The 26,949-nt window shown below is 38.8% G+C and overlaps 2 protein-coding genes across 11 annotated transcripts in view, besides 4 other annotated features; one reads left to right on the top strand and one right to left on the bottom strand.

Annotated features, from left to right (window-relative positions):
* SLC35A5 (solute carrier family 35 member A5) lies at positions 869–25,128 on the bottom strand. 8 transcript variants are annotated; one of them, NM_001348910.2, is made up of 8 exons: positions 24,175–24,403; positions 22,915–23,063; positions 17,179–17,277; positions 15,778–15,908; positions 12,492–12,559; positions 5,742–5,902; positions 5,122–5,269; positions 869–3,777 (listed from the first exon to the last, which is right to left on the bottom strand). In NM_001348910.2, the coding sequence occupies exons 2-7, from the start codon at positions 23,042–23,044 to the stop codon at positions 5,151–5,153; spliced, it is 708 nt and encodes a 235-aa protein (NP_001335839.1). In that variant the 5' UTR covers positions 23,045–23,063; positions 24,175–24,403; the 3' UTR covers positions 869–3,777; positions 5,122–5,150. The 8 variants fall into 8 exon arrangements, with proteins under 8 accessions (NP_001335839.1, NP_001335835.1, NP_001335834.1 ...); NM_001348906.2 differs by lacking the exon at positions 24,175–24,403 and adding an exon at positions 24,974–25,128 and having other exon boundaries at positions 5,122–5,902; NM_001348905.2 differs by lacking the exon at positions 24,175–24,403 and adding an exon at positions 24,626–24,768 and having other exon boundaries at positions 5,122–5,902.
* Positions 20,865–21,674: an enhancer, noted in NCBI's record as "OCT4-NANOG-H3K27ac hESC enhancer chr3:112283621-112284430 (GRCh37/hg19 assembly coordinates)". NCBI's record gives its function as "activates a minimal SCP1, AML or CMV promoter by ChIP-STARR-seq in naive H9 embryonic stem cells {active_cell/tissue: H9 hESC(naive)}" and the evidence as "EXISTENCE:reporter gene assay evidence [ECO:0000049][PMID:30033119]".
* Positions 21,675–22,484: an enhancer, noted in NCBI's record as "OCT4-NANOG-H3K27ac hESC enhancer chr3:112282811-112283620 (GRCh37/hg19 assembly coordinates)". NCBI's record gives its function as "activates a minimal SCP1, AML or CMV promoter by ChIP-STARR-seq in naive H9 embryonic stem cells {active_cell/tissue: H9 hESC(naive)}" and the evidence as "EXISTENCE:reporter gene assay evidence [ECO:0000049][PMID:30033119]".
* Positions 24,105–24,914: an enhancer, noted in NCBI's record as "H3K27ac hESC enhancer chr3:112280381-112281190 (GRCh37/hg19 assembly coordinates)". NCBI's record gives its function as "activates a minimal SCP1, AML or CMV promoter by ChIP-STARR-seq in primed H9 embryonic stem cells {active_cell/tissue: H9 hESC(primed)}" and the evidence as "EXISTENCE:reporter gene assay evidence [ECO:0000049][PMID:30033119]".
* ATG3 (autophagy related 3) overlaps positions 24,486–26,949 on the top strand; it is a 29,453-nt gene continuing 26,989 nt past the window's right edge. For 2 of the 3 annotated variants that reach the window (NM_022488.5, NM_001278712.2), the window contains exon 1: positions 24,486–24,991. In NM_022488.5, the coding sequence (NP_071933.2) occupies positions 24,920–24,991 (72 nt within the window). In that variant the 5' untranslated portion in view covers positions 24,486–24,919. The remainder of the gene's footprint in view (positions 24,992–26,949) is intronic. The other variant, XM_011513074.1, reaches the window with a different exon arrangement.
* Positions 24,915–25,724: an enhancer, noted in NCBI's record as "H3K27ac hESC enhancer chr3:112279571-112280380 (GRCh37/hg19 assembly coordinates)". NCBI's record gives its function as "activates a minimal SCP1, AML or CMV promoter by ChIP-STARR-seq in primed H9 embryonic stem cells {active_cell/tissue: H9 hESC(primed)}" and the evidence as "EXISTENCE:reporter gene assay evidence [ECO:0000049][PMID:30033119]".

Below are 26,949 nucleotides of genomic sequence, written 5' to 3'. Positions count from 1 at the left end.
AAAGGAGCCAAGGAGGATATGGCCTATTTAATCGAGCCTATTGGGTCTATAAAGAAAAGCAAAAAGATTCTCTGCAGATCTACCCAGTCTAGTCCAGCTTACAAGTGACAAGGCTTCCACATGGGACTTCAGAAGCAAAAAAAGCCTTAGAGTTATAGAGTAATTTGTCAAGTTATCCCCTCTGTATGTGGATCTTGAAAACCCACGGCAGCAAGATGCAGCTGGACAAGGATTTGAGATCTTGAGTCTAAGCCATCTTTCTCTCTATAACCAACAGCCATATTGATGCTTTCCCTCAGGATTAGGCATATTCCTGGACAGTTCAGTCCTAGGACCAATGACAGAGTTAGACCAGGTCATTCACTGCAGGCCACACTTGTGGCACAACCAAAGCCTATGCAGAAACTATCAAGGGAACAGATTCAGTGCATTATGTGTAGGTCATAACTGTGCAGAAGAGAATCTAAAAATAGAAAGGGACTTTAGAAATCAGTCCAACTTCTACACTCATGAAGGAATCTCTTCTAAAACATCCTGATGACACAATCTCTTCCTAAAAACTTCAGTGATAATTTACTACTATTCTCTATTACTCTTCAGGAAGGTTCTTTTAACTGTTGAAAAGTAACCTATTTTGGCAAAGTCCTCATTATAATAAAATAATAATCACTACCATATAAATCTTACTGTAGTTTGATTCTCCAGAGCAGAAAAATGTCTACTTCCTTTTTCACATGACAATTGCTCCTCTCCAGGTTATACTATCCTCATTTCAGGGGCATGTAGGATATGGTTTCCAGACTTCTGACCTTCTTAAACCAGTGGTGCCCATAAGACCTCCAGTGGATACATATCAGAACTTCGCATCTTAAAAAAAAAAACAACTTTTATTTCAGATTGAAGGGGTACATGTACAGGTTTGTTACATTGCGTATATATGGTACATTGCATAATGGTGAAGTTTGGGCTTCTAGTGGACCCATCACTCAAACAGTGAACATTGTACCCAATACATATTTTGTCAACCCTCATGTCCTTCCCATCTGATATGATTAGGCTTTCTGTCCCCGCCCAAATCTCATCTTGAATTGTAATCCCCATAATCCCCAGGTGTTGAGGAAGGAACCAGGTGGGGGTAATTGAATCATGGGGGCAGTTTCCCCCATGCTGTTCTCATGATAGTAAGTTCTCATGAGATCTGATGGTTTTATAAGCATCTGCCATTTCCCCTGTTGGCACTCTCTCTCCTGCTGCCTTGTGAAGAAGGTGCTTGCTTCTGTTTCGCCTTCAGCCATGCTTGTGAGTTTCCTGAGGCCTCCTCCCCAGCCATGCAGAACTGCGAGTCATTTAAACCCCTTTTCTTTATAGATTACCCAGTCTCGGGTATTTCTTTGTAGCAGCATGAGAATGGACTAATACACCACCCTTCTCACTTTGGAATCCTGTGTCCACATGTACCCACTGTTTAGCTCCCACTTATAAGTGAGAACATGTGGTATTTGATTTTCTGTTTCTGAATTATTTCAGTTAGGATAATGGCTTCCAGCTGCATCCATGTGGCTTTAAAGCACATGGTTTCATTATTTTTTATGGCTGCAAAGTATTCCATGGTGTATATGTACCACATTTTCTTATTCCAGGCACCACTGATGGACACTTAGGTTGAGTCCATGATTTTGTTACTGTGAATACTGCTGTGATAAACATACCACTGCAAGTGTCTTTTTGATAAAACGATTTATTTTCCTTTGGGTAGGTACCCAGTAGAGGGATTGCTGGGTTGAATAGAACATTTTTAGTTCCAGCACATGATCTTGTGCTCTCACTCTTTCTCTTCCTCTCTCATTAAGTGGCAAGTTAACATAAGTAAACTTAACTTTGTGCAAAAAATGCTTTCCAAAGAGGAAGGTGAGGAAAAAAAGTAATCGTAAATAAGAAAATCAATCTCCATGCACTACTGAAATCTGCTATTTAATGTATTCTGTATGTGATACCTTTGTAAGAATATTTTTGTAATTTTTATGTTTTATGAGATAAAAATGTTTTGTATGCCACATTTCCTAGAAAGGTCCTGCTGTACCTCATTTCCCTTACCTTTAAAATAAATCGCCATAATAGATATAATCTTCGTATTTCACATAACTGATGAAAATGCCTTTGTTATTGTTAGAAGTAAAGATCTACTTAAAGAGAAAGTTTTAAAAGTTGTGTAGGTTTTTGTCTCACTCTATTTTTTAAGATTAAAAGTACTCTACATCCCACCCTAAATGACAGAGTGGCAACACAAGACATAGGTTTAATAATTATTTTAATTACAAATTTCCACCAATTCTTGCCAGTCATATTATTGTGGATATCACAAATGAATTATATAATAGTATATTACCTTATATTCATCTGCATGAAACTTAGGAGAAAGGAGAGCAGAAATGTGTAAGTTTCTGAGAATGACACCATAAAGCTCATATTTACAGTATGGTAGTCTGTAAACATACAGGCCTGCCAGTTAAAGCCCACTCTTCTATCATCACCCAGCTGCATGACCCTGAGCAAGTCACTTTTGTTTGCTAATTTTTAATATCATCTATCACCTGACTTCTCTATCTACGAGAGTTAACTGGCTGCATGCAAAATACCATGAAAAATACCATGCACTTTTAAGTGTGAAGTAGCACTGTAAAGTGACTTATATATTACTGGTCTTTCTATTTTTAGAGTATTAATATTCATACATCAGTTAAAAGTCAACATGTGTTTGCTAAGTGATCCTTTTGAAAGGATCCCTTTAAAAGTTCCTAGGCATCAGCTTCACTGACAATCTGGTATGATTCTGAAGCCAGCATTTCAACTCTTGGAAAGATATACAATAGTCACAGCTTGAATTAGTAACTAATAAAATAAAATGCCCTCTTATTCTCCAAAATGTAATAATTCAGGAGTAATGACATCAAGATTTTTCTCCTCAAACTGAGGAGAAAAAAGCCCCACCGTGGCTTGTTTAAATGACTTAAAATACAAGTGGTAACTATGGTGACTAGGGAACCAATGTTTAAAACATCAAAAGATTATTACAAAAATCCAATTTCCCATGAATTTCTAAAAATTAAAATTCTGAGATGTTGTGTCTGAGAAACTGCTTCTTCAGCAAAATATTTAGCACAGACTACATCATCCCAAATCTATGGTATGGCCAGGTATTTAGGTCCTTCAACCAACGTTTTTAGAAAGGGTCCCGTTGCTCTTTACTTGCAAAATGACTATCTCTAGGGCCTCAAAATTCAAGAGACAACCTAGCTTTTATAATGTTAAAAAGGGAAGACTTTGGCATGTAAACTAGAACTACATGATTGTGAATATTTGGCAAATTGATCTCTATGTGTATATACAAGCTATAGCTAACATGATTATTACAAGTTTTTTGGAAGCTTGAAGGCCAAGGAAAATAATCTGCACATATAACTTTCTGATTTATCAAGTACTGAGATATTAATGAATTCTTCATATTGTTACTCCTGTATCAGTTCTTTAGAATTTCTTAGCCTTTGGGTACTCTAAGCCTTGGATGGAACCATTTAGGGAGTAGCTAGATATATGCAAAGAATATTAGGATTTAGAAACATTTCTGGTTTATCAAAGTGAAAAGATAAATATTACAAACACTGAAAATGTGAAAATAAGGTTCAAGAGAGCTGCAAACTATGTGGGTACCAGTTAGAAAGTATCTTCATCTGACTCATCACTCTTGGGTTTGGTAAGTCTTTCTAGTTCTTCTCCATCCTAAAAGGAAACATGAAAGCAGTAATTAGAACAAAACTGGAAATGTAGCATTTTTAAAGGGAAAACCTTACTAACAAATCACTGGTCTTACCTCATTAAGCTATAGATATAATCTGGTCAAATTAAATAAATACTTATGTTCTTGGAAAGTTAACTATAGAAGTATGAGAGGATAAAAAAGTGAAGTGTACTCAGTACTCAAAATTTCAAAGCTAACATGAGCAAAGTGAGGAGCACCACCTGCTGGTCTTGCAGAAAAATGATTAAAGGTTACAGAAATAGGTCTTCATAGGCCTTGTTACCTATATAGATTTTCTTTTGCTTAAAAATTAGAGCAAATGGCATTATCGGCTGTTGGAAAAGAATACAAGACTTCTGGATATACACTCTGGCTAAGAGCAGGGTATCCGAAACTCAAGATCCTAATTTTTTCATCTTTAGAATCTGTTGAATCATGACAGAGGCATTACACCCAGGGAAGCTCTGCTATGAATGTTATTAAGCAATAGATTATTTTTCCCAAAGAGTGAAATGTTCACTGTATAAAATATTTCATATTTTGTGTGCTCAAGAAAATTGTAAATCTAAAGCTAGATGTCTATTTCACTTATTTAAACGTATATTTAACTCCTTAATTGAATCTTCAAAGAGATCATTAACTTGCCAATAAAATGATTGACAGAGCCTTCCAAAACAATTGCAAGCAACTGGGAGATATTCGGAATAATTGCATAAGCATTTTTCTAGAAAATATTTTCCTCCTACTCGCCTTGCAAGGATCCTCTTGAAAACTACCTTTCTAGTGAAATAAACAAACCCTGCCCTTCTGGCATACTGGCTTATGAATAACCACAGGGAGGACTGAGGAGCCAGGCTTTCTATTCAACAGGACTTACTAATACGAAAGGCCAACTTCTCTCACAAATGAGCTTATTTTCCCTAACTATGGTGGAAAAGAAAGAGAAAGGGACTTGGAGTCAGACATAGGTGTACCAGTTCTTTCATTTATTATCTGTAAACCATTTTGCCTGTTTCTTGTAAAACTATGCAGACAGGACAAGACAACCTGTGAGGTATCTTCCAGGTGTATAATTCTATAGTATTCTATGAAGTAACACATAAGGTCCTTGAGATTGACTTATACTTTTTCTCTACACCTGACAGCATTGATTATGAGCCCTTGCAAACATCAGGAGTAAAAGGAATGTTTGTTGATTCGGTTTTAAAAGTCAGAGATCCAATACATTCTTTGACAAATCAGTACTGATTTTATTTTTTTCCTTGAATTAACTATGCTTTAAATTTGGGAAGAACAAGCAAAAAGGAACACCCTCACAAACTTACCCCACTGGAACGCTCCCAAAGATTGCCACTTAGATCTCGGATCCTTTCTTGCCTAGGTGCGTATTCCGGAACTTGAGGCTTGCTGGCATTATAAATAAATATAGAGAGAAGGACTGATGGGGCTTCCAAGAAAAATTCCAGGGAGGGCCTGAAGTCAAAGACCAGGACAGACACTGTTGTGATAATGACAGTGGTAACCTGGGCCATCAAGACATGGAACATGTTATCCAGGAACTTCAGAATGAAAGCCACTGAAAGGCCCTGGAATGCAGTTACAAAAATAAGGGCTACTGAAAATGCACTGTGGCCATAAAAAAATCCACAGTTCTTAATCTGATCACGGTTACTCCTCTGAAGGCCCAGAGTCAGCCCATTAAACAGAATGCCAAAGAAATAGAGTTTGCTGTTCTGTATGAAGATGCTTTCAGTGAGCTGGTTCCCTTCCTTCAGTATCTTTTCATTATAGATATTAGCCATTGAAGAAATAAAACACTGGACTATAATAAGAACATGGCCCATGCCAAGACGGATGTGACTGAAAACTCTGGCTGTGGTGTTCCATTTAGCTTCAGGAAAAGTCCATTCCTTTGCTGTACAATTGTCTTTTCTGGGACACTCACTTCTGAAAAGAAGGCAGGAATTGGAAGGGCTGAAAAAGGCATCGTGATGAAATCCACGTCCTGCCAAGTTGTGCTGTAAAGTTTTAGTCCCGGCAGTCAAGGCCACAATAGACAAAAATAAAGTCAGGAGGGAAGCCCACTGGATCCAGTTTAGACGCCTCCTGTTCAAAGATGAAAAAAAAGATTTTACTACTGTTTTCCCCCCATATCAATAGTTTCTACTGAAAACTCAGACACTTGAGTATTTGGTTGAATAAACTGGACCCAGTTTTTGCTAGCATTTCCTACCACTCAAGTTCAGAGAAAAACTGTTGGTGCCTGTCTCTCAAATTTAATGTTTTAATTCATTTTTATAACACCTATCCCCTAAGGCTGCTCAAGTCATTTCCCTTCTGTGTAGGTTTCCTTTTAACCTACAAGTTTAACATGGCCTCCTTTCTACCTCTAGAGGTATCCTGGACCTCTGGCACAGTAACTTTTATTGTACTATAAAGTTACAGCAGAGATTCTCAACCTGGTTTCCCAGAACCAGAAAGAATGTAGATGAGCTTCAGAAATGTTGTGTACAGATGAATTTCCCCCTATGCAGGAGATCCTGCAAAGCTTTGTCAAATCTTTAAAGGTGTCCATAACCCAAAAAAGATTTAAAGGAGAAGGTTAGCTCTAGATCCATGTCCTAATCGTAGAGCATTAAACAGCAAACTGCTGGCTGACAAGCCAAAGAAAAATGTTATTTTGGGCAGTATTTCAGTTTACAAAGTCCTAACAATCCTTTGTTTATTTTCCTTAGCAACAAACTTGTGAGAAATAAAGGACATGTACTATTATTATTCCATTTTGCTGATTCATTCTATTCAACAGATGTTTAATAAGCAGCTACTACGTGCCAGGCAACCTGGGGCGATAAAGATGACTTATCTCCATGTTCAAGGAATTTATGCTTTAACAGTGAGAAAACAATGAAACTAAATGATTTCAGTATGTGTGAAAAGTGATTAATGGGACAAGTGGAGTAAACTGAGGAACACTACAATCTGTAAATAGTCAGGTATTGCTTCAAAGAGGAAATGACACTTGAGCTAGAAGATGAAAAATTAATTGAAGTTTATCATGTGAAAAAGGAGGTGGTGATATATCCAGGCAGAGGGAAGAGTCTCTATGCAAAGGCAACAAGAATGTACAATGTTGACAAAGAGGAATATCTCACTTTCATTGGCGTTGTCAGGAGGCCTCTTGGGGGAACAAAATCTTGATGTTTGAAGATCAGTTAGTTAGGCAAAGAAGGGGAACACCGAGAAAAAAAGAGGAACATAAAAAATGCAGAAGTGTAAAGCAATAGGTGGGAACCAGAAGTGAGAATTTTTATATCATTGGAGCATTTATTGAGCACCTACCATACACTTAGGCATTTCCGCTCTAAGGGAGGAAACAGTTAACCTAACAGATTTCCCTAAGGTCATGTACTTAAACACTAAAGAAGGGATCGGATCCATGGTTTTGTATGTCTTCCTTCTGCATCATCACACCTCCTAAGTATAATTCTAAGTTTCCAGGATGCACATATAGGAAGTTGTGTGCATATAAAGCTTCATGCTCTGAAACTGCTAAATGCACAGACTAGCCTAGATAGCAGCATACCTGTGCACACTATTATATGCTTTCTCATATGTATGTAATTTTCAAATAGCCTGATCTAGAACTTACTGATGGCGTTAGCGCAGCCTTATGCCATCAGGTGAGAAACTGTGAACTAACCACTTAAATTTCTGAAGGTGCAGCTGATACACATTAAGTAGCAGAAAACAAATAGAATGACCACAGAGATAAAAAATGGGTGTCCATTTTACAAAAAAAATTCCATAATTAATTATTGCAAATCGCATATAAGTGAGGCAATGATATAATCTATAGTTCCTTTAAAAGTTTTCTAGAGCTATACATTTTTCACTAATATTAAGAAAAAAGAAAGAAATCCTTAAGCTAAACAACACCTTCTGTAAACAATTACTCATTCAAGGTAATGCTCTAAGGAACGTAAAATTTATTAAGGATTAAGCTAAAAATTAAAAATGGTAGATTTTTAGGAAAGAAAATAAAGCTTAATAAATTACCCTGTAAAGTCAGCTGACAATCTGAAATGACAACTGAGTCTGCTAGGCCCAATTTGTTCTTCAGTTTAACTGATACAAAACAGTGGAAGCTCACTTCACTCATCTCTCCACTGCCTCGGTAAAACATAGTAATGGATGCTCAGAGCCGAATGCCTGTGGCTAGAAGGCTACTCTTCCTGAGGGCCTCTCCTCCCAAGTGAATTGTTTGCCCACAGAATCTCTGTTCCTAAACATGTTTTTGCCAGGTGACCTCACTGTTGTCACTACATAAAGATTACATAAATGATAAACTATGAGTAAAAGACAAGAAGCTGTTTTTATGAAAACTAAGTTGAACACTTTGGGAAGACTAAGTGAAGGTAAATCATTCAGAAGATAAAAAGCTGTTTTCTAATAACATATAGGTGAGCTAAGGAACTTCAATCAGTAACATACTCAAAGGGGGGGCTTTAGTTCAACATTAGAAGAATGATGAATACATGTATATTTACATATTCTAAGTTAAAATAAATTGTTTAGATATTTTCTATATATACTTATGTATATGATTCATCACTATAAGTTTTCCTAGCAACTAACCAATAGGTTCAAATTGTGTCAGATAAGAGCACTTCTATATTTGGTGGTAGTAAACTAGTGCAGGGTATGAAGACAATTAAATGGAAAGACTCACATAATTGTTTTCTCAAGAAACTGTACAAAACACATTTCTTAGTAGCACAAAGAGAGTGACAAGGGGCAGATTTATAATGAGAAGTCACAGAGAAAATTTATCAACTGAATGAATGATTCTGGAGAAATGCTTGTACTACTACTGAGTGGCACTTCTCTTTGTTCTTCTGCTGTTTCAGACAGTAACTAAACTTTACCCTTACTTCCTAGACATCCACCATGTTTCAAAATGTATTTTTAAATAATTTTTTTCCATACCTTCTCTTTGAGGAAATCAGAGAAACTTATATACATTTTTTAGGTAAAAATAAGTGCTGGTCTTGGTTATCCTTTGCCTCCAATCTCAATGTTTAGGTTGGTATTATTTCCCAAAGCTAAAGCAAACAAAATTGTGCAACTTTGCTTAGGTTACAAGCAAACCAGGGAAGCAAGCTACAAGGCATAATGCCTGCTACCAGTTTCTACCATGAACCAGTGGCTTATACTTCAAAGAACAAATCTATACATTCACATAAAGTTTGAATCCTTGGAAAATAACATGCTAATAATCTAATATTGTGGCTTATACTTCAAAGAACAAATCTATACATTCACATAAAGTTTGAATCCTTGGAAAATAACATGCTAATAATCTAATATTGTCTTTTATGAGAATGCCTTTAGGTATTTTATTCTTTTTAGAAAAGACAATAGGACATTTAGATGATAATATTTTTTTTCCCACTTTCAAATTCCTCCAAGTAATCCCTGCAGTAGTTACCAGACTTACTTTTGCCTGCTTTTGTAGCCTCATATTCTTTTTAAGAATTTTTAAAAATTATTTTTTTTTTTCTTAAAAAATTTTTTTTAAAAATTATTCTATTTTATTTTGTAGCCTTGTATTCTTTACCTGTATGGGAAAGGTATTTGATAGTTCTGATACAATCAAGTATAAGACAACAGATTTAATATTCTAAATGAAAAGTGGCAAACAAAGAATATGTGATAGAACTATTAAGCTGCTACTCCTAGGTCAAAATTTAATCACAAAGGGCAAAAAGACCATCAAATGATTCACAAAGAGTAAATTAAATAGGGAAAACCAATGCACACCACCAACTCCAAAAAGATCAAAATAGAACAAAGTTAAGTTGACTTCAAAATGTAATAAAAGCACATACATCAATGAGATATTTTTCAGCTTTAAAAATTGGAAGGAAATCCTGTCACATGCTACATGGATGAACCGTGAAGACAATATGCTAAGCTAAGTGAAATAAGCCAGTCCCAAAAGACAAATACTGTATGATTCTATTCATATGAGGAATCTAAAGTAGTCAAATTCAAAGAAAAAAAGAGAGTGAAATGGTAGTTATCAGGGGTTAGGGTGAGGCGGGGAAAGGAGAGTTGTTTAATGGACTTAGAGTTTCAAATTTGTAAGGTGAAAGAGTTCAACATCTACTTCACAACATGAATAGACTTAACACTACTAAACTGTATGCTTAAAAATTGTTAAGATGGGCTGGACGCGGTGGCTCACGCCTGTAATCCCAACACTTTGAGAGGCCAAGGCAGGTGGATCACAAGGTCAGGAGATCAACACCATCTTGGCCAACAGGTGAAACCCTGTCTCTACTAAAATACAAAAAATTAGCCAGGCGTGGTGGCACGTGCCTGTAACACCAGCTACTGGGGAGGCTGAGGCAGGGGAATCACTTGAACCCAGGAGGCGGAGGTTGCAGTGAGCTGAGATTGCAACCCTGCACTCCAGCCTGGCGACAGAGCAAGACTCCGTACCCACCCCCACTGCCAAAAAAAAAAATTAAGATGGCAAATTTTTTTTCTTTTTTTCACAATTAGAAAAAAGAGTTAAAAAATGTAATAAGGCCAGGCGTAGTGGCTCACACCTGTAATCCCAGCACTTTGGGAGGCCAAGGTGGGCAGATCACCTGAGGTCAGGAGTTTGAGGCCAGCCTGGCCAAAATGGTGAAACTCTGTCTCTACTAAAAATACAAAAATTAGCTGGGCGTGGTGGTGTGCACCTATATTCCCAGCTACTTGGGAGGCTGAGGAACAAGAATTGCTTGAAGACGGGAAGAGGAGGTTGCAATGAGCCAAGACGGTGCCACTGCACTCCAGCCTGGGTGACAGAGTAAGACTCTGTCTCAAAAAAAAAAAAAAAAAAAGTAATAAAATACTTAAAAGGCATTCTCATAAAAGACAATATTAGATTATTAGCACGTTATTTTCCAAGGACTCAAAACAGAGAGATGTTAACAACAAAGCAAATATATGTCTAAGAATCATTATTATTCCTCTGAAAATAAGAAAGTATGTAGAAATTTTTTTTGAACTTTAATTCATACCAGTGTTAGTTATTATTAAAATTAGCAAAATGCAATCAATATTATAACTAGTATTAAAAGCAAATATTTAAAATGTATAGTATAAATAGATTTAGATTTAAACTTAGAATGAACTTTCTTAATACAAATAGTTAAATGCTTAAAAATTTAACAAGGAATACTTATTATAGGATAGGACTAAAGCTACTGGCCAATTTCAAGTCAGGCAATACATACTTTTAGTCTTTAGTAAATTCAGTTTGAAATTGATGTAATTTTGATGTAATATTTTTATATTATACAACTTCAGTATAATACCATCTGTACTCATTTAAAGTAAATGACAAACACTTTAAAAATACATGTTTTTGAGACCTGTACTCCCTTATTAAATCGTGATCCTTTTATCATCTTGGAATATGGAAATGGTCTTGGAACCATTTTATCTTCACAGAAGTACATCGCTAATCTATCACAGGAATCAATATACAAATATTATTGCTTGCTTACCTTTTCTCAAAAGTCAACTTTTTATACTACAAAGTGAGATTCAAACTGATTTCAAAGACTTCAAAATGTTTTTGGAATATCTTTTTTTTAGTTAAAGAATTATTTTCACAATTCACAAATAAATTGACAGATACGTAGAACAAACTTCGATGTACTCTAACATTTAAACTGGGCTAAATGTAATGTTCACTTTTTCCTTATCTCTCACATTAACTATCAAATTAAATGTTTCCTCAGGGTAAAAGAAAATACATCAGGAATCTTATATAATTTATATATTAAGTATATCATGGACTCAACAAATTAAATCTTTGTACCAAGCCAGTCACCCTTTCATATACACAAATTATGAAAGAACATACTATCACACAGCACACTGAGAATCAATAAATCAAAAAGATAATGTAAAATTTAAAAAAAACAAATCTAATAAGAAATTAATTTTATTTTTTAATCATTATCATTAAGTAAGAAATTAAACTGAAGTTAAGTATCCAGATCCTGTATCATCTTCCTGCCTTAGGACACTCTGGCTTTTGCTTTGAAGAGAGCTTAATTTACTTAAAAATGTTTATACTATTCAACGGTCCTCTTGGAGATAGTAAAAACTGGTGATAACATTTTTAAAAGTTTAAAAAACTATCCTTCTTAACTATAATTTTGACTAGATTCTTCACACACTCTGCTAATTAGTGCTTAAATCACGTCCTCATCTCAAATAGTTTAATAAAAAATTGGCCATTATCTATCATCTCCAAACTACAAATTACAAATATATTAACAATCTTAGGAACCATTTGCTTCCCTATTAGTGCAGAAAGATTTTGCATAAAAAGCTCATTAATTCTTTGTTGAAAATCTGGCACTAAATATGAAAATACTAATTATAACACAGTCAATTATCTTATTTTTAAGATGCTCAAGACATTTTCATTCATCTGATCACAGAGGATTTAGATGGACTAGCACTGGAGCTGCTTTCTACATGGCTTAAACGTGCCCAGTACACAAAGTCAATTAGGAACAAAATCCTGGCTTTGGGATTCTGACGGCTCAGTGTTCTGGGTATATCATTTGAAACCGGGCTATGTTATTTTAAAGTATGATATATGTTTTCACAGCAAGTTACTTACTTCAGCACTATCCTGAATAGAAGAGCTGTTGTTATAATGCTAAAATTTGAGAAGATAACAGCCATGGCCTAGAAAGAAAGAGAAGATAGAGTTACAATCCAAATGAAGTACTGACCTCAGAAATGTCTTAGCTTGGCAGTTCACCTGACAAAAAAAGCTTTTTGGTCAAAAAACAGAGGGGTTATTAAGGTAGCAATTTCAACTAAGGATTAAATTCCAGTTTTGTCGCTTGTCAAATTTACGTAGATATGATCAAATTATTGTCCAGGCATTGCCTGTGTAAATAATCTTTATATACAGATCTGAAATTACTTATAAATTCTAAAGGTTTAGGTTTAGAAATGACAGTTGCTATGCTTATGAAGCCTACTTTTCAAAGTTCTCAAAGCGCCTTATGGATTTTTAACACTGTTTCTACGGTCACATAGAAGGCAGGTACTGTATGGCCCATTAATATAGTAAGAAAACTGAAGTATAGATTTTTTTAAGCATCTTTACCATTCTAGGAATTGTATCAATTTTCCTGGTTGAACTGCAGTAACTCAATACCAAACTCATACTTGACAGCCCTGCGCACTGATTCAAGTTGTTCTAAACACTTAGAAATGTATCAGCCAGATTTTAAAACCATTTGTTTTTACGAATTCAGTCCTATTTCACACATGAGAGTATTAATCTGAACATGTATACATTATGCTCAGAAAGCATGAAATTCCATCATTGCTGCCCATAATTAGATCTGACAATAGTTAATAATTTTTTAATGCAAATCTTAGGATGTACTTCACCCTGCCTTCCTGCTTGCTATCACTTTAAGGTGATTAAACCCCAAAAGATATTAACAGTCATATATACCCACTAATTAAAACAAACATGGCTAATATGAAGCTAAATTAAAGATAAAACTCAATGAAAAATGGCAACAACTCCAAGAATATAACATTGTTGTTTTTCTATTACATTCTTATGGGAACCACCATTTTAAGGTTTTCTCAGTGTACTTCTCTGTAGGCAAATGCCTGTGAACCCCTAGTTAGGAGATGAGTAAGAGGAAAAGAGGAAAGTGGCTGTGAAGTGTGGAAATAGTGGCCTTGATCAATCACATTAAGGGCAGTGCAAAAGTGCCTAACCATGCAGCCTGACGGCTTGATGAATTCTGAAAATTCTGAATACTCTTTCCATGCAAGAGGATAAAATAAAAACATCAGAGCTCTTTGGCCCAAACATTCCATGCATCTCTATTTAATTCCTTCAATAGGCTCAGGCACAGCAATACACAGAGTATGCATGTGTTTTATTCTGTAAGATATATGGTTGTTCACAATCAGGAAGGAAGAGCAAAACAATAAGCTGGAAGAAAAATAAGGAAGTTGCCATTTTGCTTTGGTACTGGGGGACACAGAAAAGAGACACAAATTTAGAGTGAATCTGTGATAAAATACAATAAAATGTATTGAATTTGCATAATTTTGTTGGGGACAGCAATTCTCAAAAATGGAAGAATTTAGGAGAGAACAGATCCTAGGTGGACTGGACACTTATTAGCAACATGCATTACAGAGCCAAAGAAAACTTCAGGTGATCACCTGGCCCAGTTCCCTGCCTTTGAACTAGTATATTATTATTATTATTATTATTTATTTCATAGAGGGGGTAACTGAAACTTAAAGCAGTTGGGCCTGCCTAGTTACACAGCTTCTAAACTGTGGAAAGTCGGCCGGGCACGGTGGCTCACGCCTGTAATCCCAGCACTTTGGGAGGCCGAGGCGGGTGGATCATGAGGTCAGGAGATCGAGACCATCCTGGCTAACAAGGTGAAACCCCGTCTCTACTAAAAATACAAAAAATTAGCCGGGCGCGGTGGCGGGCGCCTGTAGTCCCAGCTACTCGGGAGGCTGAGGCAGGAGAATGGCGTGAACCCGGGAAGCGGAGCTTGCAGTGAGCCGAGATTGCGCCACTGCAGTCCGTAGTCCGGCCTGGGCGACAGAGCAAGACTCCGTCTCAAAAAAAAAAAAAAAAAAAAAAAAAAAAAACTGTGGAAAGTCAAACACCTGTTTTCTACTATAATTCTTGATAGGGTTTGGCTGTGTCCCACCCAAATCTCACCTTGAATTGTAATCCCCATATGTCAAGGGCCAAGCCAGGTGGAGATAACTGAATCATGGCGGAGGTTTCACCCATACTGTTCTCATGGTACTGAGTAAGTCTCATGAGATCTGACGGTTTTATAAATGAGAGTTCCCCAGCACAAGCTCTCCTGCCTGCTGCCATGTAAGACATGACTTTGCTCCTCTTTCGCCTTCCGCCATGACTGTGAGGCCTCCCCAGCCTTGTGGAACTGTGCGTCCATTAAACCTCTTTCCTTTATAAATTACCTAGTCTTGGGTATGTGTTTATTAGCAGTGTGAGAACAGGCTAATACAGTTCTATCTTGAGCCCTCCTTTTCATCCCACTCTGATTTGCTTATATTTAAGAAACTTCACAGAGAAGACTGGTAGCAATAGAAATCCTATTTATAATCAAATGCCTGAATTTACTTTTTAAAGAAATTTAAAACACATTTTGGCAATAAAGGCAATAGAAATCTTCATTTTATAAAATATTAAAGGGAAATATACATGTGACCTATTGTGACCCAAACTGAGTAATAAGTGAAAGCAGAAAAACCAAACTCCAGCTCGGATTACTAATGGCTTTCTAAACTGACACAAAGGATGCCAAGAAAGATGAGAAGTATTTCCAGCATTATCAGTTATAGATGGCATTTCTAGTTGGGAGGACATGATCCCTACCCTTGAAGAATTTGTTGGTTAAATGACATGACTAACAGAAAAGAAAACCATACAAATAAAATTCATATAAACTACATTAAAACAGGTGTAAGAAAGGTACATTGAGTGTTTAACTTTCTGAGTTAATCAGGGAAGTTTTCTTGGATGAGGTCCTGGATGCTGAGATAATTAGAGGTTAGTGGCCACAGGACGTCTCAGAAAATAGGCATACTAATTAGGGTTACATAAAAAGAGGTGGCTTCAGATTTCTTGGTCTAGGGAGCAACTCCCCCATGGTAGTCAGCCCAGTTTAATACAGTAATCTTGACCATTTAAGAGAACCTGGCACGCATATTGATAATTCAGGACTCAGATAATTCTGGGGAAATCTCAGGAAGGCCAGTGAGGACAATGAGAAACTAACAATGCCAACAAAAATGATAAAAAAAAAAAAATTCTGGGATTTATTTCTCTGTATCTTTTCAATGGTATTTTCTTTTTCATATTTACTTACTGGTTGAAGATAGGACAGGACATAGAAGACAATCAAGTTATCCAGGAAATAAAGAAAGGCAGGAATGGACCACTTCATGAAATCAGAGAATTCCTTCCAGGAAGCATATTTCAAATTTCTACTTTGATGATCTTAGAAAGAAACACGGTGTAAATGACCTTGATGAGAATGCCCACATTTTTAGAGAAATTACACTGCACTTGATTACTGATACAATTCTTTAAAGGGAGCTTTATAAACGTGCCTCCATTTCATTACTGTCTCTCTTCAACCCACCAGTTTCATCACTGACAATCAGCAACAACCTTAGGACTACTGGTTATCCTAATTCCTGTTAATTTGAGATAACAGAAGTATTACTTAAGGCAACTCAGAATAAATATGTGGTTTCTCTTGCTGCTGTAAGAGCATAAGGCCAACAGGGAGATCAACAAGTTAAAATAAGTTAAAAAAAAAAAAATCAAGGCTTCATACTGGAATTTTTGCCCCCCAGGGCAAATCAGGAAAGGGGGATACTAAATCGAAATTTATATATATGGAACTAGAGAAAGTTAACTTTTAGTAATCCTGTCAGTTATTATTCCATCTCTAGGTTTCTAAAAACTTAGGCACTGTAGCAGAGAGAATGTAAAACAAAAAGAAAACAAAGGCAGTTTAAGGCCCTGCAAATAATGCATTGAGTTTTATGAGATTAAGAAAAGTAGTCACTAACGAGAAACTGCAAAGTTTGAAACCCTGGAATATGAAAAGACATCTTGCTGGGCAAACACTTCAATGCTCTAAAGTTTACGTTTACCTCATGTGTGAAGGTATATGAAAGAGGCAGAGGGAGGGAGCGGAGGCGCAATAATTGGGGAACTAAGGTGAAGAATTAATGTATATTAAACAGCATATACATTCCATGGAAGGCTATATACTTTACATTTGAGAAAGGAATTAGTATCCCTATGTGATAGCTCAGAAAACTGGAGCTCAGAGAAAATAATCTGCCCCAGAACAGTCTCTTTGATGCCTGTGCACTATGCTACCTTCCCTGCAGGAAATGGGAACTATTTTGAAATATGATACATCTCAAGTTAGCACGATTTAGAAAATCTTTAATTTGAATAAAAACTAACTTACTGTATGAAACTATCACAGAACAAGTAACAAGATAGAGTAATAGGAAGGGCATTAGGAAACATGAGTTGGTGTCCCAGCTCCTCCCCTTCCTATGCAGCTCTGCATTAACACTTTCTCTTTGAGCTTGTTTCTCCACCTCTAAAACATACTTATGTTTGTATCTTAGCTTCCTCATATAAAATTTAATGGACTAAGCTAAATGATACAAAATGTTCCTTCCAGTTCTAACATTTTTTGGTCCTATGATTAACAAGTATATAGTACCATTTCAAGACTTACCTTTCTTTATAACACAGAATGACACAAGCACACAGAAAACTAGCTTCACCAGTTCTGAGCACACATTCACAGTAGTTGGAAGATAATCATACTTGTTTTCTGAAATGTAACAGAAATGTTTTTTAACTATATATTTTATTCCATGTATGTTTATATACAGTATAACATAATTGTTTTAAAATTTAAAAGCTGGATTTACTACTGGTTATATTAAGTTTCTTCCAGTTGCCTTTGCTCCTTTGGATTTTTTAATCAATTCACCTAATGTATTAGCTATCCCTATCCCATTTGGCTTTTTATTATCCTTGAATTTGTTAAACAGCCTCTCATGTCTTCATCCAAGTTGCTAATACATTAAGGAGGCTAGGACTAAGGGCAAAGAAAGCTCTGTGGCATGGCATCAGAGGCTGCCTGCTAAATTGACCATCAATCAACACCGACTCATGCAACAGCTATGAACTGACCTGCTGAATTATTACTCAGCTCATAATTCTTCTTGTGATTTCTTTGCCTTGCTAAAATTGAGGTACACTCTGTCTATGACATCCCCTTAAGAGTTTTCCAATCTGTTTTATATCACGGTACACACAGAAAACATTAATATTTGTTTGGCACTCTGGGATAAATGGTACACTGAGGTAAAGAAGGAAACTATCTAAGGCAAGAGGCAACTGGCCTAGGGCTCTGCTACCTTTAGGGCCGAGAGGAAATACTTGGACACATCCAAACCCACTGATGAGTTGGAAAGCTACATCCTAAACTGCAAATCAATAGAATTAGGAAGTGAGGTTTGGTTGGTATGACTTCATCTTAACTGTTACCTGTCTCTTCTAAATGCTTACAAACAACTCGCTTTACAATTTTGCCAAGGATAAACATAAACTTTATTGGGTACTATTTTCAGGAATGCATTTTCCCCACTTTTGAAGACATTTGCTTGCTTCTCTCAGTCACATTAAACCAAAATTGGCCAAATGTAGGGAAAAAAAGCCAAGTGGACACTGTCTATCCAGAACACTTTCTTCCACTCTCCTGTGGTTTCCCTTGACCTTCTCAAACTAATCAGAATCAATTCTTTATTCATCTCTGTTCTTATAGCACTACCTCTAAACCTCTGTGGCCCTACTTGTCTCATTGGAAGTGTGTGAAGTGAAATGGAATGGAAGATCCTTACAAGAAATGGACCATGTTTGTCACGTTCATATACCTGGCACTTAGCAGGCACTTAATAAATGTTCACCTGAATTTAAATATCTGCCTGTTCAACTTTACCCCATCATTCAAAGCATAGTCAAAACATCTCCTTTTTCTCAGTTAAATGCTAGACTTAACTCACACTCTGTTATCCTCCAATGATACTTCTCATGATCCATCATGATACACATAAGCCAACATGTGCATATAAGAAGGGGGGACTTTGGATTATAACTTTCAAACCCTTGTCACTGTTCTTTAGCTTGTTCTTGCTTTTCAGTGGTTTTCTTGCAGTCCTTTCACGGCCGATCCCAGACCATATGACAACATGGTATGTGATTTCCCTCCACACATCTCCTGCCCACACTAACATACCTTTCTACATGGCATTCACTGGTTTCCCTTCAGCCCCAGAGGAAGGGGCTAAGGCCCGACTATTAATCCAATGTCCCCTTTAAAACCCTCCCTTCTAGCTGGGTGCAGTGGCTCATGCCTGTAATCCCAGCACTTTGGGAGGCCGAGGCAGGTGGATCACTTGAGGTCAGGAGTGGCCAACATGGTAAAACCACGTCTGGTCAACATGGTGAAACCACGTATCTACTAAAAATACAAAAAAATAGCTGAGCATGGTGGCACATGCCTGTAATCTCAGCTATTCGGGAGGCTGAGGCAAGAGAATGCTTGAACCTGGGAGGTGGAGGTTGCAGTGAGCTGAGATCGCGCCAGTGCACTCCAGACAGAGCGAGACTCCAACTCAAAACAAATCTTCCCTTCTCAGATACTTGGCTCCATTTCCTTTGGCTTTAGTGTATCTTTTTGTTTGTTTGTCTGTTTTTGTTTTTTGTTTTTTGAGACAGAGTCTTGCTCTGTTGCCCAGGCTGGAGTGCAATGGCGTGATCTCAGCTCACTGCAAGCTCCACCTCCCAGGTTCACGTCATTCTCCTGCCTCAGCCTCCCAAGCAGCTGGGACTACAGGTGCCCGCCACCACGCCCGGCTAATTTTTTGTATTTTTAGTGGAGATGGGGTTTCACTGTGTTAGCCAGGATGGTCTTGATCTCCTGACCTCGTGATCCACCCGCCTCGGCCTCCCAAAGTGCTGGGATTATAGGCGTGAGCCACCACACCCAGTGTATCTTTTTTATCTTCCTCTCTACTAACTGGCTTACTGCCCTTGGCCTACAAACATGCTCAAAACTCTCGCATCTGAAAAACAAAATATAAAATACTACTTCCTCTAGCTACCATACCTTCTCCATCTCTCCCTGAAACAGTATCAACGTTCTTTATCTGCCCTTTACTCACTTTCCATTCAGGTCTTATCTCCAAGTAATCTGATATCTGAAACTAACTCCTTTCTGAGATTATCAAACATATTCTCATTCTTAACTCTAAAGGGTATCCTTTAATCTTTAGCTTATCATGATGTTGCCATTCTTTCTCAGTCTTCAAACTTTCTTTCCTTTCTATGAGTCATGTGCATTTAGTTATCCCATCTCGCTAATGATGTCTCCTTAATGCTTTTCTGGTGTCCGCATGTCACTTAAATGCTGGCATTCCTCGGAGTTTGGCCCTCTTTATTTTCTCATTCTGCATGAGTCCTCTCTCTGTTCCTTAAGTTTTAAATATCAATTTGACATTAATGTCCCCAAATCTATATTCTAGAACATTTAACTTATTGCCCACTATAAATATCCAAACGAAAACCTACCTCCTATTTATTCATATAATTGGTATTTCCCTCATGTGCATGACATGCCAGATACTGCAGAAAACTGCAGTAGGGACATAGCTCCTGACCTCTTCAACTACAATCTTTTCAAACTCTGCCCAACCTACTCTTCCTCCTAATAGTCTCCATCTCAGCTAAGAACAGCATCAATCCACTCAGCATTCAAACCAGAAACCTTGGAGCTATATGTTATCTTTTTTAATTTTCATATTCAATACATTCTCCAAATCCTGTCTTTTCTATGTTCTGAATACTCCTTATTTATCTTACTACTTCCAAAACACTAAGTTAGTCTTCATCACCTATGGCTTTACTTTGCAATAACCCCTTAACTGGCTATTGAGCTTCCTGTCTTTTCCACTGCCATCCAGCTACCATAACAGTCCCTCATTTTACTCTCCTATTTATAATCCTTCAAGTATCCCTTATCCCTCAGACTGGCCTAGAGACTAAGGTCCCAGCTCCTTACCATGGAATATGAAGTCCTTAAAAATCTGAGACTTACCAACCTCTCTCCAGCCAACCACTCCTTCTCTTTCTTCTGAGTCCTTAAACTTTTTTTTTTCTTTTTTCTTGAGACAGTTTTGCTCTGTTGCCCAGGCTGGAGTGCAGTGGCATGATCTCGGCTCACTGCAATCTCTGCCTCCCGGGTTCATTCTCCTGCTTCAGTCTCCCTCATAGCTGGGATTACAGGCACACGCCAACAAACCCAGCTAATTTTTTGTATTTCTAGTAGAGATGGGTTTCACCATGTTGGCCAGCCTGGTCTCAAATTCCTGACCTCAAGTGATCCGCCGGCCTTGGCCTCCTAAAGTGCTGGGATTACAGCATGAGCCACTGTGCCTGGCTACGAGTCCTTAAACTTTTTGCTTGGTAATTTCAAACTACATATTCTCACAACATATCCTGCTTTTTTATGCCTCTGTTCCCTTTTACAGGCTGTTGCCTCTGTTTTGAATCCCCTTGTTCACCTTGACTTCTAGTGGATCAACTGACTTCTAATCAGCGAAGTGTTCTCTGATCCATTTGAACTCCACATCATCCCCTACCAAACAGAATATATAACTTTATCCTCTAGACAATCTCTGCATCTTCAGGATATATCAATTATTGCAGTTATTATAATGGATTTTCATGATGTGTTTACATTCATGTCTCTCCTAATAAACTAAGTCTTGAGGACAAGGTCTATATCTTATGCACTTTGAACCTGCTGCTAATACTTAGCCTAGTGCCTGGCAGGTAAATGTTAACTGCAGTAGAGACTTGGGTACACATCTGACTCTCCAAGTAGTAGACCATTAAAGGTCATATCATGATTGTATGTGTCCTCAATTGTGGGGAAAAGAGAGATCAGATTGTTACTGTGTCTGTGTAGAAAGAAGTAGACATAGGAGACTCCATTTTGTTCTGCAATCTGTAACCTTACCCCCAACCCTGTGCTCCCTGAAACAGGTGCTGTGTCAACTCAGGGTTAAATGGATTAAGGGCTGTGCAAGATGTGCTTTGTTAAACAAATGCTTGAAGGCAGCATGCTCGTTAAGAGTCATCACCACTCCCTAATCTCAAGTACGCAGGGACACAAAACACTGTGGAAAGCCGCAGCGACCTCTGCCTAGGAAAGCCAGGTATTGTCCAAGGTTTCTCCCCATGTGATAGTCTGAAATATGGCCTCGTGGGAAGGGAAAGACCTGACCGTCCCCCAGCCCGACACCTGTAAAGGGTCTGTGCTGAGGAGGATTAGTAAAAGAGGAAGGAACGCCTCTTTGCAGTTGAGACAAGAGGAAGGCATCTGTCTCCTGCTCGTCCCTGGGCAATGGAATGTCTCGGAGTAAAACCCGATTGTATATTCCATCTACTGAGATAGGGGAAAACCGCCTTAGGGCTGGAGGTGGGACATGCGGGCAACAATACTGCTCTTTAAGGCATTGAAATGTTTATGTGTATACATATCTAAAGCAAAGCACTTAATTCTTTACCTTGTTTATGATGCAGAGACCTTTGTTCACGTGTTTACCTGTTGACCCTCTCTCCACTACTATCCTATGATCCTGCCACATCCCACTCTCCGAGAAACACCCAATAATGATCAATAAATACTAATGGAACTCAGAGGCTGGCAGAGATCCTCCGTGTGCTGAGCGCCGGTCCCCTGGGCCCCCTTTTTTCTTTCTCTATACTTTGTCTATGTCCCTTTCTTTTCCAAGTCTCTCGTTCCACCTAACGAGAAACACCCACAGATGTGGAGGGGCAACCCACCCCTTCACTCAATAACTAGTAAGAAGTACTCAATACAGTTTTGTGGAATTAAAGTGTTTGCTTAAATCCCTACATAAAAAAAGATTTCTTAAATACATACTTATCAAAGCTTATAATTTATACTGTTGATACAATATGACCGCACAATATAATGCTGACACCTTACCATTGATACAATAATTACAATAGTAAGTACCTCACAAATGCCAAGTGACCAAACAAATATATCCTTCTACTTCAAAATAAGGCGCAATTACACATTTTGCTATAGGTCCAGAAACACCTGTTGATTGAATTAACAGTCAAATGTTACGACTGGTTCTTCACCAAAGGGTTTGATTTTTGTATCTGATTGACTCACATTTCATCCATTATCAAACATTTTTTCTTGTTGAGGAATGCAAGGTTAAATAATCAAATTTAAATATGCTTTATCACTCACATGAAGCAAAAGGCATTATTATTTCCATGTTATATATAACAGAACCAAAGGCAAGAGAGAGATGTGTGATTAGATGGAAGTGCTCCATGCATATACCAAGTCTTAACTTACCTTCATTGGCAGAATACTTCACTAGTAAGATGCGACTTGAGCTTAAAGCAATGAATATGGCACCTAGCAGGAATGTATACATTGTTGACAAGGAGCATATTACAGGATGACTACAGCACTGTTTTTCCATTCCACTGTTTTTTAATTACCTTAAAGAGAAAAACACTTTCATGAACGACCTTGTTGGCAGACCCTAAACGCAAATACCATTGATCGTGAGGACAAAAAAGGAATTTTTAAAAAATTTTGGCTATGACTATATCAGCACCAAGAAAGTTGAGGCATAAAGAAACTATGACAAAAGGAAAGTGAAAATCTGATAAGAGGGAGTACTCTGGAGACAGAAAACGTAGAACCAGATTAGACCTGCTGACAAAGGTAGCAGGTGAGCAAATGACACTTTGCAACAGCAGAAAAGAATTCTTCAAAGCAATTTTGAATTTTATTTTTAAATTTTATTTATTTATGTATTTTGAGACGGAGTCTCGCTCTGTCACCCAGGCTGGAGTGCAACGGCGCGGTCTTGGCTCACTGCAACCCCTACCTACCGGACTCAAGCGATTCTCCTGCGTCAGCCTCCAGAATAGCTGGGACTACAAGCGCCCGCCACCACGCCCGGCTAATTTTTGTATTTTTAGTAGAGACGGGGTTTCACTATGTTGGCCAGGCTGGTCTCGAACTCCTGACTGTGATCCGCCCGCCTCTGCCTCCCAAAGTGCTGGGATTACAGGCGTGAGCCACCGCGCCCGGCCTCGCTTTTACTCTTATTAGTAAATAATTTTGCTGTAAGATAAGGCTTTCAGAATTGTATTTTCCTCCTCTTTTCCCTCGGAGGAAAAAGCTTATTAGGACAGACTTCATTACAATAACGACCAAAATGGAAATATCTGAAACACTGCTGTAAAGTTTTACTGAACTAGTTAGTGTTTGAAATGGAGGAGATCGTAGAAATCAATGAATCTAAGGCCCTCTTTTGATAGGCTGAGGACACTAAACCCCAGGTTGGGTAAGTAACTTGCCCAAAGCCTCCCAGCGTACTGTAGGAATAGCGCATAGAGCCTGCGGGGAGTGGGGAGAAATGCCAATACTGACAGCCCCATTGGGCGCACGCCTACAGGACGCCTCCCCGACAGGAGGGGGCCAGATTTCCCTTCACAGTCAGGGACTACCCTTCTAGTCACACATGCGCAGTAGGGCTCTTCACTGGCGCACCCTCCCCTCAGACGCAGGCGCAATTCCTTGCCCGCGGGGCGCGGTTACCTCCCTCAGAAGAGCTTCTAGTGGAAGAACGCACATCCTAGAGCTGAGACAGTAACTGTCTAGCCCCGTAGTAGCAGCAGTAGCCTTTAGGGTCCATACGTGGAGAAGCTACAGTAGGTATAGGCGAAAAAGCCCCTCCCTCTAAGCCGCCTATTGCAGAACAAAAACCACGATTACGTCCGGATTGGGAAAAAGCGGACCCGACACCCATTGCGCAGGCACGTTCAGTGTTACGCTTCCGGAAGGAGGGGAGAAGCGGCTTATCCCGCCCCAGCCCGGCCCCTTTCTCACGTCACGTGCCGGGAGAGTCTAGTGTCACGTGAGGCCCCGGTGGCGGCGCAGCTACGGCAAGAGAGTGAGAAGGAAGGGAAGCCGGAAGGGGCGCGAGTGAAGCAAAGCGAGGACAGACAGCTCGCAGAGGGCGAGGGGTGCGTGTGCGTCCGCTTCTCACCTCAGGTCTCCCTTCGGCCCCGCTGCCCTCCCTCGCGGCTGGGTGACAGCTGGGTCCGGTCCGTCGCGGGCTGCCTGGGGTGCGAGGATCGCGCACCCCGTCTTCGCGCGCTGTGCCTGCCGCCCCGCCCCCTCGTCCCGCCCGTCCCGTCGCGTCGCGTCCCGTCCCCTCGGGTGCTGCCAGCCGGGTGCTGATGCGAGTCGGTGGCAGCGAGGACATTTTCTGACTCCCTGGCCCCTGACACGGCTGCACTTTCCATCCCGTCGCGGGGCCGGCCGCTACTCCGGCCCCAGGATGCAGAATGTGATTAATACTGTGAAGGGAAAGGCACTGGAAGTGGCTGAGTACCTGACCCCGGTCCTCAAGGTAAGCCAGGCCAGGGTTGCCGGGAGCTGTCAGGCACATGCTCGACTTTTCAGGGACCAGGCGCCGCAGGAGTCCCCGCTTTCTCCGGCGGGGCAAGGTGTAGGAAGGCAGTAGGGCTCGAGACACAGGGAAGTGTGCAGCCCCCACCCGTAGTCTTAACCGGCTGTTCGTTAGGGCTTTCTGACTCCTCAGGGGTAAACTTGGAGCGACGCTCTGCGTGTTCCTGCCTTCTCCCGTCATAACTCTGCGCGGTCGGGTACGTCGGGTTGGAAGGGTGTTCGGAGGCTGAGTAGATTGAAGAACGTTAAATCCAAACACTGGAAGTCTTTTAGCCTTTTTAAGCAAGGATTTTGCTTCTCTTTAAAAAATGAATTTAGTGTTTGACACACAGAGGTCAAAAGAGACCTGAGGTGAGGTCACTTTTCCTTTAAGTTTCATGAAAGTCCGCTGTAGTGGGGAAGTTGTGACTGCGATCCCAACTCGTTTAGATTTCAGAGGAAGGAGGTGAAATTGGCAACATTATCTCATTCAGTAACCTTGAACCCATCTAACGAGCAAAACCTTTTTCCCAAGCTTTTCAGATAGCCGTAGCTGGTTATTAGTGATAACAAGGCACGGTTTGACCTTCCTGGCTGTATAATTTTTAAAAATATATTGGCAACAGTACAGCATTTTTAAAGTAAAAAATTGTGACACATTAGCTGTTACAGTAGTGACTGATTTTTTTTTTAAAGGTAAATTTCTACAACTGCCTTCAAGCTTTTCTTTTATAACTCTTTTGGAGTGTTTTGTTGTAACTTCATTTTTGCTTTCTGAAAAGTGAGCAAGAATAGTAAATTAATGGGAAGTTCTTGCTTAGTTTTTGTTTTTTTTTTCTAGTTGTTTTTAAGCTTTCAGTTAGAATGTACCAATCTCAGTGTGGGGGTGAAATACCTTAATATGCTAAGAATAGTGGAGAGTTTTGCTTTGCTCCCTTTCCATGACAAAGGGAAGTACTAGGTCTATACTTTTTAAAATACGTTTTTGTAAAGCTCCTTTTAAAAGAATAACTTATTGGCCAAGTAAGAAATAAACCAGCGATTATAAATGAGAATTTCAACTGTTGCTTTGCTTACATTTGTTTACTGTGAAAGTCATTTTAAGATTATTCAGTCAAACTAAGATTGGAAAATAATTTTCACATTTGAATCAAATGCTTTTACATAATTATGTTAACTTTTCAGAATATCATATCTACCTAGGTATACAGTATTTTAATAATACACCATTGTACAACTTTTTAGTTTCCGGGAGAGAGGAGCAAGAGACTGCCCAAATGAAATATAAAATGTATGATGTAGAATTATGTTTTCAGGAGTCCATCATACTTGCTCACCAAACTGAAAAGGAACTGTTGGCATGTCAGTATGTATGGTATATGTCTTTAGTAAAAAGGAAAGAATGAATGACCGTCTCCTTGATACTCCTGTGCAAACTGTTGTTTACAGAGAGAATCCTTACAGTTTCCTGCTTAGGGAGGGCAAGGAGAAAGAACAAAATCCTCAGGAAATAAGTAATAGCCTTCTCCTAGCAAGTAAAAATTAAGAAAAATCATGTTTTGTTTGGAGTATGTACATGCAGTAAACACTGAAGTTCTTACAATCATCTCTAAGGTTCTGCTTAATTGGTAGAGGCCCCAATCTCATCTGCTCCATCCCCTGACTGCTGTTGCTTAAGCTAACCTGATCTCTTTATTATTCTGTTAAGCACACTCTTGGTTTGGGGTTTTGCATGTGCTCTTCCCTCTATCTGAAACGCGCTTCGCACTTAACAGCCTTATGGCATGTTCCTTTCCTTAAGGTTTTTAAGTCATTATTCAGTGAAGTCTTTGTTCTCTTACCATTCTATTTTAAATGGCCATCTCTCCCCAGCCACCCCACAGATTCCTCTCAGCTTCATTTTTCTTTATGGTATGTTAT

Source organism: Homo sapiens, chromosome 3 (assembly GCF_000001405.40).
Source record: "Homo sapiens chromosome 3, GRCh38.p14 Primary Assembly".
NCBI lineage: Eukaryota > Metazoa > Chordata > Mammalia > Primates > Hominidae > Homo > Homo sapiens.
Note: the sequence above shows the minus strand (reverse complement) of the source record. Positions and strands in the feature narration are given on the sequence as shown.

Bases quoted from the DNA above. Each gene is read 5' to 3' on its own strand.
- SLC35A5 (NM_001348906.2), bottom strand. From the start codon at position 23,044: ATGGAAAAACAGTGCTGTAGTCATCCTGTAATATGCTCCTTGTCAACA. The intron at 17,278-22,914 runs GTAAGTTAAGAC...GTTACATTTCAG, and splicing joins GAAGTATTCTGCCAATGAAG to AAAACAAGTATGATTATCTT. The intron at 15,909-17,178 runs GTAAGTCTTGAA...TTTCTTTCTAAG, and splicing joins ATTCTGTGTTATAAAGAAAG to ATCATCAAAGTAGAAATTTG.